Source organism: Homo sapiens, chromosome 17 (genome assembly GCF_000001405.40).
Source record: "Homo sapiens chromosome 17, GRCh38.p14 Primary Assembly".
Taxonomy (NCBI): domain Eukaryota; kingdom Metazoa; phylum Chordata; class Mammalia; order Primates; family Hominidae; genus Homo; species Homo sapiens.
The window spans coordinates 42,730,130-42,744,308 of NC_000017.11; the positions used below are offsets into that span (position 1 = coordinate 42,730,130).

General features: G+C 45.6%; 1 protein-coding gene across 6 annotated transcripts in view; it reads right to left on the reverse strand.

The window, feature by feature from the left end:
• Positions 1–14,179, reverse strand: part of EZH1 (enhancer of zeste 1 polycomb repressive complex 2 subunit) — a 44,766-nt gene that overhangs the window by 29,855 nt on the left and 732 nt on the right. For 3 of the 6 annotated variants that reach the window (NM_001321081.2, NM_001321082.2, NM_001991.5), the window contains exon 2: positions 699–789. The exons of the other annotated variants lie outside the window; for them this stretch is intronic. The gene's annotated coding sequence lies outside the window, so the exon portion shown is untranslated. The remainder of the gene's footprint in view (positions 1–698; positions 790–14,179) is intronic. 6 annotated transcript variants of the gene reach the window in all.

The following is a 14,179-nucleotide window of genomic DNA, read 5'->3' on the forward strand; positions in this document are numbered from 1 at the left end:
AGCCTCTGTCCTCCTGTGGTATCTTGTTTTTAATTTAGCACTCAAGAAGTTCTCCCACAGGTACTAGGAACTTGGATTACTTCAAGATATGGAAGTCTTCTCTTTACTTTGAGTAAGAGAAGTGGTCAGCAAGAACCAAGTTTGCATCCAAGGGTTTCATGGAAAGATCCACCCATGCTACAAAACCATACTGCCAAATGGTCTAAATTTACCACATGCCTAGTAATAAAAGTAGGATATGACAGCAGTATAATCTCATCTCCAAGTCAGCAGCAAGACATATGGAAATAGATAGCAATGCAAATCCCCCTTTTTGGTATTTGAATTAAGGTTCAACGTTTTAAAGAAGTATGTATTCTTTTTTTTTTTTTTTTTTTTTTTTTTTGAGACGGAGTCTCGCTCTGTCGCCCAGGCTGGAGTGCAGTGGCGCGATCTCGGCTCACTGCAAGCTCCGCCTCCCGGGTTCACGCCATTCTCCTGCCTCAGCCTCCCGAGTAGCTGGGACTACAGGCGCCCGCTACCACGCCCGGCTAATTTTTTGTATTTTTAGTAGAGACGGGGTTTCACCGTGTTAGCCAGGATGGTCTCGATCTCCTGACCTCGTGATCCGCCCGCCTTGGCCTCCCAAAGTGCTGGGATTACAGGCGTGAGCCACCGCGCCCGGCCAAGAAGTATGTATTCTAATATACTTTACCTACCTTATAGAATGCAAGGGGAAGTGTTGGGTTTTACAGTGTGCCTCTGTTCTTCAGGAGAATGGCAGGACACAACAGCAGAACAGGTGTCCAGCTTTTCAAAAGAGAACAGACAGTGGTTCTATTAAGTTAGTGCAGCAAGTTAGACCCTGACACCCTCAGTAGGATTTTCCCCCAGAATCAGAAAGACTTCAAGGTTTCTCCTACTATTTTTGTATGTCTAAGACAGGTCCCTATAATACTTGATGCCATTTGGGAAGAGGCCCTTTACTTTATTAAATTCTATTTTTTCATAATGCTTTTTTTTTTTAAAGACAGAGTCTCACTCTGTTGCCCAAGCTGGAGTGCAGTGGCACAATCTTGGCTCACTGCAACCTCCGCCTCCTGGGTTCAAGCCATTCTCCTGCCTCAGCCTCCCAAGTAGCTGGGACTATAGGCGCGCACCACCATAGCCGGCCAAATTTTTTTGTATTTGTAGTAGAGATGGGATTTCACCATCTCTACTGGGGATCACCTGACCTCAAGTGATCTGCCTGCCTCGGCCTCCCAAAGTACTGGGATTACAGGTGCAGGTGTGAGCCATTGCACCTGCCCATAATGCTTTTCTGAACCAATTTCTAGGCTCAGCTAACAGGCCTGCCAATTATTTTAGAGAAAGTACAAACACTAAATACATGTAAAAATTCAATAAAATCCACAAGATGATGCTTTTACTCTATAATAACTACTTGGGTTTCTTAGATAACTAGCTCTATTTATTCCACCTAACATTAAAAATGTTTAAAAACATTACAAGGAGCTAGCCAGGTGCAGTGGCTCACGCCTGTGATACCAGCACTTTGGGAGGCTGAGGTCAGGAATTCAAGACCAGCCTGGTCAACATGGTGAAACCCCGTTTCCACTAAAAAATACAAAAAAAAAAAAAATTAGCCAGGTGTGGTGGCAGGCACCTGTAATCCCAGCTACTCGGGAGGCTGAGGCAGGAGAATCATGTGAACCCGGGAGGCAGAGGTTGCAGTGAGCTGAGATCACGCCATTGTACTGCGGCCTGGGCAACAAGAGTGAGACTCTGCCTCAAAACAAAACAAAACAAAACAAAACATTACAAGGAGCTATGAAGAGCCAAAATTTGAAACAGAAACTAAAGTTTCACACCCTATTTTTTAAAATTTCCTACACATTTATTTTTTTCGCTGAGGTGAGAGGATCACTTAAGCCCAGGAGATTGAGGCCACAGTGAGCCATGATTGTACCACTGCATCCAGCCTGAGAAACTGAGCAAGCCCCTGTCTCAAAAACAAAAACAAAACAAAACCAAAAAAAAAAAAGGAAAAGAAAAGAAAAATAAATGATCAGGCAATGTGCAGTGGCTCATGCCTGTAATTCCAACACTTTGGGAAGTCAAGGCAGGAGGGTTGCTAAGAGGCCAGGAGTTTGAGATTAGCTTGGCCAACACAGTCAGATCCTATCTCTATTTTTCAAAATTTTCTTTTGCTGTTGTTTTTGTTATTTTTTAAAGGAAAAGAGGCTGGGTGCAGTGGCTTACATCTGTAATCCCAGCACTTTGGGAGGCCAAGCTGAGAGGATAGCCTGAGCTCAGGAGTTTGATACAAGCCTGGGTAACATGGTAAGACCTCATCTCTATTAAAAATCAAAAACATCGGCCGGGCGCGGTGGCTCACGCCTGTAATCCCAGCACTTTGGGAGGCCGAGGCGGGCAGATGATGAGGTCAGGAGATCGAGACTATCCTGGCTAAAACAGTGAAACCCCGTCTCTACTAAAAATACAAAAAATTAGCCTGGCGAGGTGGCGGGCGCCTGTAGTCCCAGCTACTTGGGAGGCTGAGCCAGGAGAATGGCGTGAACCCCAGGGGGCGGAGCCTGCAGTGAGCCGAGATCGTGCCACTGCACTCCAGCCTGGGCGATAGCGAGACTCTGTCTCAAAACCAAACAAAACAAAACAAAATCAAAAACATCATCCGGGCATGGTGGTGCATGCCTGTAGTTCCAACTACTCAAGAAGCTGAGGTAGGAGGATCACTTGAGCCTAGGAGATCAAGGCTAGAGTGAGCTACTGAGATTGCACCACTGCGCTCCAGCCTGGGCAACAGAGTGAGACTCTGTCACGTGCAATGGCTCATGCCTATAATTTCAACACTTTGGGACTCTGAGACCAGCCTGGGCAACAAAGTGAGACACCATCTCTACAAAAAAAAAAAAAAAAAAGAAAAAGCCAGGTGCGCTGGCTCACGGTTGTAATCCCAGCACTCTGAAAGGCCGAGGCGGGCAGATCACCTGAGGGTGGGAGTTTGAGACCAGCCTGACCAACATGGAGAAACCCCGTCTCTACTAAAAATACAAAATTAGCCGGGCGTGGTGGCGCATGCCTATAATCCCAGCTACTCTGGAGGCTGAGGCAGGAGAATTGCTTGAACCTGGGAGGCAGAAGTTGCGACGAGCCGAGATTGCGCCATTGCACTCCAGCCTGGGCAACAAGAGCAAAACTCTGTCTCAAAAAAAAAAAAAAAAAGGTCTGGGCGCGGTGGCTCACGCCTGTAATCCCAGCCAGCACTTTGGGTGGCCGAGGTGGGCGGATCACGAGGTCAGGAGATCGAGACCATCCTGGCTAACATGGTGAAACCCCGTCTCTTCTAAAAATACAAAAAATTAGCCTGGCATGGTGGCAGGCGCCTGTGGTCTCAGCTACTCGGGAGGCTGAGGCAGGAGACAGCCGTGAACCCGGGAGGTGGAGCTTGCGGTGAGCCGAGATCGCACCACTGCACTCCAGCCTGGGCGACAGAGCGAGACTCCATCTCAAAAAAAAAAAAAAAAAAAGGCCGGGCAGGGTGGCTGACGTCTGTAATCTCAGCACTTTGGAAGGCTGAGGCAGGCAGATCACGCGGTCAAGAGATTGAGACCAGCCTGGCCAGCATAGTGAAACCTTGTCTCTACTAAAAATACAAAAAATTAGCTAGGCATGGTGGCGGGTGCCTGTATTCCCAGTTACTTGGGAGGCTGAGGCAGAAGAATCGATTGAACACAGGAGGTGGAGGTTGCAGTGAGCCGAGACAGCATCACTGCATTGCTGCCTGGTGACAGAGCGAGACTCCATCTCAAAAAAAAAAAAAAAAAAAAAATCATCAGCACGGACAAGAAAACAACAAAATTTAACCCATTACCACACATATACCACAATAAGCTCATGATTATATCTCATGCACATGGATTTTTTTTTTTTTTTGAGACGGAGTCTCGCTCTGTCACCCAAGCTGGAGTGTAGTGGCACGATCTTGGCTCACTGCAGCCTCCACCTCCCAAGTTCAAGCGATCCTTGTGCCTCAGCCTCCTGAGTTGCTGACATTACACCACCATGCCCGGCCAATTTTTGTATTTTTAGTAGAGACAAGGTTTCACCATGTTGACCAGCCTGGTCTGAAACTCCTGGCCTCAAGTGATCTGCCTGCCTCAGCCTGCCAAAGTGCTGGGATTACAGGCATGAGCCACCGCGCCTGGCCAAAATAATGGTTTTAAATTGCAATCCCTCTTCCGTTCCTTTTTGGCATTCATTTTCCTTTTTTCCTATTTTCCTTTTTGAAATAGTAAGCTTAGGTTTCTCCACGTATTTGAAAATGAAGATTACCAGCTGGGACAACATGCCAAAACCCAGTCTCTACAAAAAAATTACAAAAATTACCCGGGCATGGTAGCCTGTGCCTGCAGTCAGTCCCAGCTACTCAGGAGGCTGAGTTGGGAGAATCACCTAAGCATGGGGAGGTAGAGGCTGCAGTGAGCCATGATTGTGCCTCTGTACTCCAGCCTGGGTGACAGAGTGAGGCCTTGTCAAAAAAAAAAAAAAAAGTAAAGAAAGAAAGAAAGAAGGAAGGAAGGGCTGGGCGCAGTGGCTCACACCTGTAATCCCAGTACTTTGGGAGGCCAAGGTGGGCGGATCACCTGAGGTCAGGAGTTCGAAACCAGCCTGGCCAACATAGTGAAACACATCTCTACTAAAAACACAAAAATTAGCCGGGTGTGGTGGTGGGTGCCTGTAATCCCAGCTACTTCGGAGGCTGAGGCAGGAGAATCGCTTGAACCTGGGAGGCAGAGGTTGCAGTGAGCTGAGATCGCGCCACTGCACTCCAGCCTGGGTGACAGAGTGAGACTCGGTCTCAAAAAAAGAAGAGGAAAGAAAAGAAAAGAAAGGAAGAAAGGAAGGAGGGCGGGAGGGAGGGAAGGAAACAGAAAGGCAGGGAGGGAAAGAAAAGAAAAAAGAAGTATTAAGTAATGGAATAGAACATAATCTACAGATGCTGTCGTGTCTGGCTGGCTGTGGTGGCTCATGCCTGTCATCCCAACACTTTGGGAGGCTGAGGCGGGTGGATCACTTGAGGCCAGGAGCTCGAGACCAGCCTGGCCAACATGGTGAAACCCTGACTCTACTAAAAATACAAAATTTAGCAGGCCATGTTGGCACACACCTGAAACTCAGCCATAAGATGAGTTTTCACCACAGCTGGACCCTAACCAACAATTATCATATCAAAGTTAAAAAAAAAAAAGGGAACAAATAAAAAACTTAGCATTCACTAGAACAGGCAGATTTGGAGAGATGGATTCATTGGTGTTGGGCAAAGGGAGTGGCACACAAAAAAATACTTTATATTTCTACCAGATCTATTATTTAGTTACTTACACATGCAAAACAGCACTTATATTCCAGTTAGGTACTTAGCTAGTACTTAACAGCCTTTCATTATGTTCATCTACACATTGAAGATAAACTCCAAAACATATGCTGTTTTGATCAAGAAATTAAAAAATATTTATATAAGCAAGTCCTATAGCTCAATAATAAGACAAATCACCAATAAAAAGTGAGCAGAAGGCTGGATGTGGTGGCTCATGCCTGTAATCCCAGCACTTTGGGAGGTCAAGGCGGGTGGATCACAAGGTCAGGAGTTCGAGACCAGCCTGACCAACATTGTGAAACCCCATCTCTACTAAAAATACAAAATTAGCCAGGCGTGGTGGCGTCTGCCTGCAATCTCAGCTACTCAGGAAGCTGAGGCAGGAGAATTGCTTAAACCCAGGAGGCAGAGGTTGCAGTGGGCCAAAATCGTGCCACTGCACTCCAACCTGGGAGACAGCGAGACTCCGTCTCAAAAAAAAAAAGAGCAGAAATTTGAACAGCTATGTCACCAGAAAAGATACAGGAATGGCAAATGAGCACACAAAAGGTTGCTCCATATCATTAGTCATTAGGGAAATGCAGATGAAAAATACAATGAGATACTATTAAACACCACTACCATGGCTAAAATGAAAAAAGACTGATAATACAACTTGTTGGTGAGGACGTGAAGCAACTGGAATCCTCATACACTGCTGGTAGGAATGCAAAGTGATATAGCCACTGTGGAAGGCAGTTTGCCAGTTTTTCAAAAATAAAGCTGAATATATACTTACCACAGAACCTGGCATACAATTTCTAATTATTTATCCAAGAGAATTGAAAACCTATGTCTCCACAAAGATCTGTACCCAAATGTTCATATTTATTTATAATAGCCAAAAGTGAAAACAACACACATATCAATGGATTGGCTAATGGATACAAAATGTAGTGTGTATAGATATATACACACACAATGGAATACTATTCAGCAACAAAAAGCCATGAATAGTTTCTATACATTCACACCACATCTCAAGACCATTAAAAGACTATGCTGGTTGAGTGCAGTGGCTCACGCCTGTAATCCCAGCACTTTGGGAGGCTGAGGCAGGCAGATCACTTGAGATCAGGAGTTCGAGACCAGCCTGGCCAACATGGTGAAACCTCATCTCTACAAAAATACAAAAATTAGCTGGGCATGGTGGTGTGCACTTGTAGTCTCAGCTGCTTGGAGGCTGAGGCAGGAGAATCGCTTGAACCTAGCAGGGCAGAGATTGCAGGGAGGTAGAGATTGCAGTGATCTGAGAATGCGCCACTGCACTCCAGCCTGGGGAACAGAGCGAGACTCTGCCTCATTAATAATAATAGTAATAATAAAATGAAACCACCATACTAAGTGAAAAAAATAAGACGCAAATAACTGCATATGATTCCACTTAAGATGTTCTGCTGGCCAGTTGCAGAACAGGAACTCCCTGTACTAGCTTTACAATTTTTTTTTTTTTTTGAGACAGAGTCTCGCTCTGTCGCCCAGGCTGGAGTGTAATGATGCAATCTCGGCTCACTGCAACCTCCACCTTCTGGGCTCAAGCGATTCTCCTGCCTCAGCCTCTTAAGTAGCTGGGATTACAGGCACATGCCACCGCGCCGAGCTAATTTTTGTATTTTTAGTAGAGACAGAGTTTCACCATGTTGCCTAGGCTCGTCTTGAACTCCTGACCTCAGGTGATCCACCCGCCTTGGCCTCCCAAAGTGCTGGGATTACAGGCGTGAGCCACCGCGCCCAGCCTACAATTTTTAAAATAAATCTAAAACTATTCTAGGGCAGGCGTGATGGCTCATGCCTGAAATTCCAACACTTTTGGAGGCTGAGGCAGGTGGATCTCTTGGGCCCAGTTGTTCGAGACCAGCCTGGACAACATGGTGAGATCCCATCTCTACAAAAGAAATACAAAAATTAGTTGGGCATGGTGGCGTGTGCTTCTAGTCCCAGCTACCAGGGAGGCTGAGGTGAGAAGACAGATGGAGCCTGCACGATCAAGGCTGCAGGAGCAAGCTGTGACTGCGCCATTGCACTCCAGCCTGGGTGACAGAGTGAGACCCTGTTTCAAACAAACCAAAAACAAACAAACTATTCTTTCTTTTTTTTCTTTCTTAAAAAACAAACTATTCTAAAAAATAGAGTTTATTTTTTAAAAAGATTAATCATTGGAAATACGAACCACTTTATTTACTGTCACATCTCTACAGGAAAAGAAAGCTATAAAAATGTAGCAATCTTTCCCCAGAAAACTGGATCTCAATTTGCTGCAAAGGCTAAAACTAGAATGTAGTCTGTCACTAGGTGGAAATGGGAAAACATTACTGAAATTGTATGGCAATAAAAAATTTAAGGAACGGCTGGGTGCGGTGGCTCACGCCTGCAATCACAGCACTTTGGGAGGCCGAGACAGGCGGATCACGAGGTCAGGAGATCAAGACCATCCTGGGTAACACAGTGAAACCCCGTCTCTACTAAAAATACAAAAAATTAGCTGGGCATGGTGGCGGGCACCTGTAGTCCCAGCTACTCAGGAGGCTGAGGCAGGAGAATGGCGTGAACCCAGGAGGCGGAGCTTGCAGTGAGCCGAGACGGTGCCACTGAACTCCAGCCTGGGCGACAGAGCAAGACTCTGTCTCAAAAAAAAAAAAAAAAAAAAAATTTAAGGAACAAGTTCTTAAACTTAGAGAGACTGAGATCAGAATACAAAAGTTCCAAACTATTAAATTTTTTCATCTACATAAGGTGTCCCTTTGCAGAAACAGCTTCTTTGTCTTAGGGGCAAATTCAGTGTCTTTGATAGTTTCTCTTGAATAATAATTTTATTAACCAGCAAGGCTAAGTAAGCCTTTGGAGGCAGATGGCACTACAGATTTTTATTTTTTAATTTTATTTATTTGTATTTATTATTTGTATTTATTATTATTTTTTGAGACGGAATCTCGCTCTGCTGGGATTACAGACGTGAGCCACCGTGCCCAGTCTATTTTTTTTATTTTTTTTTGAGATGGAGTCTCACTCTGTTGCCAGGCTGGAGTGCGTTGGTGCAATAACAGCTCACTGCAACCTCTGCCCCAGCTAATTTTTGTATTTTTAGTAGAGACAGGGTTTCACCATCTTGGCCAGGCTGGTCTGGAACTCCTAACCTCAGGTAATTCACCCACCTTGGCCTCCCAAAGTGCTGGGATTACAGGCGTAAGCCACCGGGCCTGGCCTAGATTTTTTTTTTTTTTTTTTTTTTGAGAAGGAGTCTCACTCTGTCACCCAGGCTGGAGTGCAGTGGTGCTATCTCAGCTCACTGCAATCTCCACCTCCTGGGTTCAAGCGATTCTCTTGCCTCCACCCCCCCTGAGTAGCTGGGACTATGCTCGCCACCAAGCCGGGTTAATTTCTGTATTTTTAGTAGAGGCGGGGTTTCACCATGTTGGCCAGGATGGTCTCCATCTCCTGACCTCGTGATCCACCTGCCTCGGCCTCCCAAAGTGCTGGGATTACAGGCGTGAGCTACCACGCCTGGCCCCTGGCCTATATTTTTAAATATTTCATCCTATTCCTTTTTTGATTCATAGTGTAATTGAAACCTGAATGATAGGGGTGAACCTATCCCTGCAAAGAGCTCTAGTAACACACCTTTGGGTCATTCTGGTGATCACCAATTTCATCAACATTTCAATTAAAATCAATTCTGTGACTAGGTACACAGCCTGATCTCTCAGTTAGGATCTATAAAGCACATCTCTAATTTATACCCTCCAACTTCTCTGAGGTATTTTCATCTGTCATTAGTTTGAGCTTCTGGGCACTACACACAGAAAGAACCTTCCTAACAGGAACCTGTGACTCTGAATTCTAATTTAAAATAAAATTATAACATTAGTATTTCCTAGTGTTGCTTAATTAAGAGAATCAGATCAGCTGGGTGCAGTAGCTCACACCTGTAATCCCAGCACTTTGGGAGGCCAAGGCGAGTGGATCACCTGAGGACAGGGGTTCGAGACCAGCCTAACATGCAGAAACCCCGTCTCTACTAAAAATACAAAATTAGCCGGGCATGGTGGTGGATGCCTGTAATCCCAGCTACTCGGGAGGCTGAAGCAGGAGAATCGCTTGAACCCAGGAGGCAGAGGTTGCAATGAGCTGAGATCGTGCCATTGCACTCCAGTCTGAGCAACAAGAGTGAAATTCTGTCTCAAAAAAAAAATTAGATCGTATGCACTGGAGGTAATGGTAACAAAAATCTAAACAGGATTAGTTTTTTTTTTTTTGAGACAGAGTCTCGCGCTGTCGCCCAGGCTGGAGTGCAGTGGCGCGATCTTGGCTCACTGCAAGCTCCATCCCCCAGGTTCACGCCATTCTCCTGCCTCAGCCTCCCGAGTACCTGGGATCACAGGTGCCCACCACCATGCCCAGCTAATTTTTTGTGTTTTCAGTAGAGACAGGGTTTCACCATAAACAGGATTAGTTTTTATGAGACCCAAAGGAAAATGCTGGCTCACAGGATTTATAACTCTGGTTTAATTTTATTTCATTTTATTTTGTTTTTTGAGAAAGGGTCCCACTCTGCCGACCAGGCATGATCATAGCTCACTGCACTTCGACCTCCCAGGCTCAAGGGATCCTTTGGCCCCAGCCTCCCTAGTAGCTGGGACTACGGGCACATGCCACCATGCCTGGCTAATTTTTTATATTTTCAGTGGAGACAAGATCTTTTTTTTTTTTTTTGAAACGGAGTCTTGCTCTGTTGCCAGGCTGGAGTGCAGTGGTGCAATCTCAGCTCACTGCAACCTCCGCCTCCCGGGTTCAAGCGATTCTCCTGCCTCAGCCTCCCGCGTAGCTGGGACTACAGGTGCAAGCCACCACGCCCAGCTAATTTTTGCATTTCAGTAGAGACAGGTTTCACCATGTTGGCCAGGATGATCTCGATCTCTTGACCTTGTGATCCACCCGCTTCGGCCTCCCAAAGTGCTGGGATTACAGGCGTGAGCCACTACGCCCAGCCTACAAGATCTTGCTATGTTTCCCAGGCTGGCCTTGAACTCCTGACTTGAAGTAATCCCCCTTCCTCAGCCTCCCAAAGGGTTGAGATTACAGACATGAGCCACCGTGCCCAGTGAGAACGCTGACTTGGAAGAGTAAAAGCAATCTCCTAACAGGCTAGAGCCCTATCTTGACTGGTTCTGTACTGTGTCAGCCCAAAGTTTAATACTGTACTGTATTTAGTGCCTGCTCATATCATCCAATAAAAATAAGACTTTTTAGTCTATTTTGAATCAAATTATTCGGGTAGGTGAGTTAGAGAATAAAACACACTAAAGGTACTGAATTCCAACTACCCATTAAGTAACTCATGACTTTAGGGTGTAGTGTACTCAAGTCTCAACTGATGATTGACTGATAGACTAAGGAGTAGGAAAGAATCCAATATGTACACAGTTTGGACATAAAACAAAACAAAGAAAAAGCTGGGGACTTTCCAGAATGGAGAAGCACAATTTTTCTTTTTTTAACCTTTAACCCTTCCCCTCAATCCCAACCTATCTAATTATCTTCACTTTTCTCCACAAATTGTTTTCTCTTTTCTCTTTAGTTTATTCTATGTAGAAATGGAATTAGTGTGTTTTTAGTGTTGCTACCTCAAATCTTTTCTGGGACGCTACTAGTGAACAAAATAGAAATAGTGAACAAAGTGGAAACTGTTTTTGAGACAGGGTCTCCCTTTGTCGCCCAGGCTAGAGTACAGTGGTGCCATCTCAGCTCACTGCAACCTCCGCCTTCCAGGTTCAAGGGATTCTCGTTCCTCAGCCTCCCAAGTAGCTGGGATGACAGGTGTGGGATGCCCACGCCCAGCTAATTGTAGAAACGGGGTTTCACCGTGTTGGACAGGCTGGTCCCAAACTCCTGGCTTCAAGTGATCAATCCCTCGGCCTGCTCCCAAAGTGCTGGGATTACAGCTGTGAGCCACAACGTGGGGGGCCCAAAGTGAAACTTTTTAAACTTAATCTAAGACCAGAAAAAGATATACTTAATGACATGAATTGTTACATGTTTCATATAAACAGCAAATCAAAGGGAAGGAACTGTTGCCTACAGAGTAATGAAGCCAGGTTTCAGACCCTAGGAATTAAAAATAGACAAAATTAATATTTTGAATCGGTTTCTTATTTTGTTTTGAGACAGGGTCTTGCTCTGTTGCCCAGGCTGGAATGCAGTGGCTTGATCTCGGCTCACTGCAACCTCTGCCTCCTGGGCTCAAGCAATCCTCCCTACTCAGCCTCCTGAGTAGTTGGGACTACAGGCCCACACCACCAGGCCTGGCTAATTTTTGTAATGTTTTTGTAGAGACAGAGTTTTGCCATGTTGCCCAGGCTGGTCTCACACTTCTGAACTCAAGTGATTCGCCCACCTCGGCCTCCCAAAATACTGGGATTACAGGCATGAGCCACAGTGTCCAGACTTAAATTGGTTGTTTGAAGGTATCATCCAAAGGCAAATATATAAGAAACAAGCCCGACCACATTTTTCTTAACTTTCCCTTCTCCCAAATGTCTTCTTGGGAGTAAAATTTCATTTTTAGTTCCAGCCTCCTTATTCCAGTGCTGTCTCTCTTTTTTTTTTTTTTCCCAAGACAGAGTCTCACTCTTTCGTGCCCAGGCTGGAGTGCAGTGGTGCAATCTCAGCTCACTGCAACTTCCCACTCCCAAGTTCAAGCGATTCTCCCACCTCTGTCTCCCAAGAGCTAGAATTATAGGTGTCCGCCACCACGTCTGGCTAATTTTTTGTATTTTTAGTAGAGATGGGGTTTCACCATATTGGCCAGGCTGGTTTTGAACTCCCCGACCTCAGGTGATCCAACAGCCTCAGCCTCCCAAAGTGCTGGGCTTATAGGTGTAAGCCATCAGCCCAGCCTCTAGTGCTGTTTCAAAGGGCACTAATGTAACCATCATAATGAAGAAGTCATTTACACTTTAAGGAATTTTAAGCTGGGCCTTAGCATCAAGTTCCACGATTAGCATACAAGTACTCTGCCAGTTACTGACAATACTAGCATCCGGATCACCTGACTCCCAGTGCCAGAAATTTCCCCACTATTTATTCCACAAATATATGTTGAGCACCTACTATTATACTTAATAGTAGTATCTACTATGTGTTACCATTTTAGGTGTTTGGGGTACATCAATGAATAAAACATATATCCCTGCCTTTGGAGTTGATTCATTATGTTTGTGACACACAACAATAAGCATAAACCTTGACAATGATAGCATTATTACAGTTTTATAGATAGTCCTTTCTCCTATTATGTATGTGCGTTTTTAAGTACTTCTCTCTCCCTTTTTTTTTTCTTTTTTGAGATGGAGTCTTGCTCTGTCACCCATGCTGCAATGCAGTGGTGCATGTCGGCTCACTGCAACTTCCACCTCCCAGGTTCAAGCGATTCTCGTGCCTCAACCCCCTGAATAGCTGGGATTACAGGCACCCACCACCACGCCCAGCTAATTCTTGTATTTTTGTAGAGAAGGAGTTTCGCCATGTTGCCCAGGCAGCTCTCGGACTCTTGACCTCAAGTGATCCGCCTGCCTTGGCCTCCCAAAGTGCTGGGATTACAGGCCTGAGCCACTGTGCCAGGCCTCCTTTTTTTTTTTTTTTTTTTGACAGAATCTCACTCTGTTGCCCAGGTTGATGTGCAGTGGTGCAATCTCGGCTCACTGCAACCTCCACCTCCCGGTTCAAGCGATTCTAATGCCTCAGCCCTCCCGAGTAGCTGGGACTACAGGCGTGTGCCACCACACCTGATTAATTTTTGTATTTTTAGTAGAGATGGAGTTGTCCCATGTTGCCCAGGCTGGTCTCAAACTCCTGGGCTCGAGTGAACGGTCCACCTCAGCCTCCCAAAGTGTTGGGATTACAGGCATGAGCCACCGTGCCAGGCTTTTTTTTTTTTTCTTGAGACAGGGTCTCAGGTGCTGTCACCCAGACTGGAGTGCAGTGGCAGGATCAGAGCTCATTGCAACCTTGACCTCCCAGTCTCAAGCAATACTCCTGCTTCAGCCTCCCAAGCAGCTGGGACTATAGGAGAAGGCCACCACATCTGGCTATTTTTTTTTTGTAGAGATGAGGTCTCGCTATTGTTGCCTGAGCTGGTCCCAAACTCCTGGGCTCAAGCTATTCTCCTGCCTGGGCCTCCCGAATGCTGGGATTTCAGATATGAGCCACCGAGCCCAGTCTAAAGTACTTATCTCCTAACACACACTCTCTCCTATGTAAGTAATCTCTTTTATCAGTGGCATATCTGGGGATTCCAAGACTTAAAATAGACAAGCTTTCACAGAAACCTCTAATAGGGTTAGCACCTTCTCAGGCTGGAAACCTCCTTCAATATCAGTTTCCTAAATTTAAAAAACATGGGGTGTGGGAATTTTTTTATTCAGCGGCAGTATGGCAGCAAACGTGGAGGAGACTCGCGTTTTCATTGCCATCCTTGCACCCACCTAATTGTTAGTGTACCTGAGCTCCTTTGCTTTCATCCTCCCCTGCCAAGCGTCAGGTTCCTATCGGCCTGGGCTACATCACATACAACCCTGTATTTCACCCTCCATATTCCTTCACATTCCACGGGGGGCACTAACATCCTTCAGGTATCCCTTCCCTTCCCTGCTCAAGAAACAATTCCTCAGTAGTCACTTTTTATTGAAATAAAAGTTTGTCCCACATTTCCTAACAGGCATGTCCCAAATACAACACCTTGTCTGTGCTTCAAGGCACTTTTAT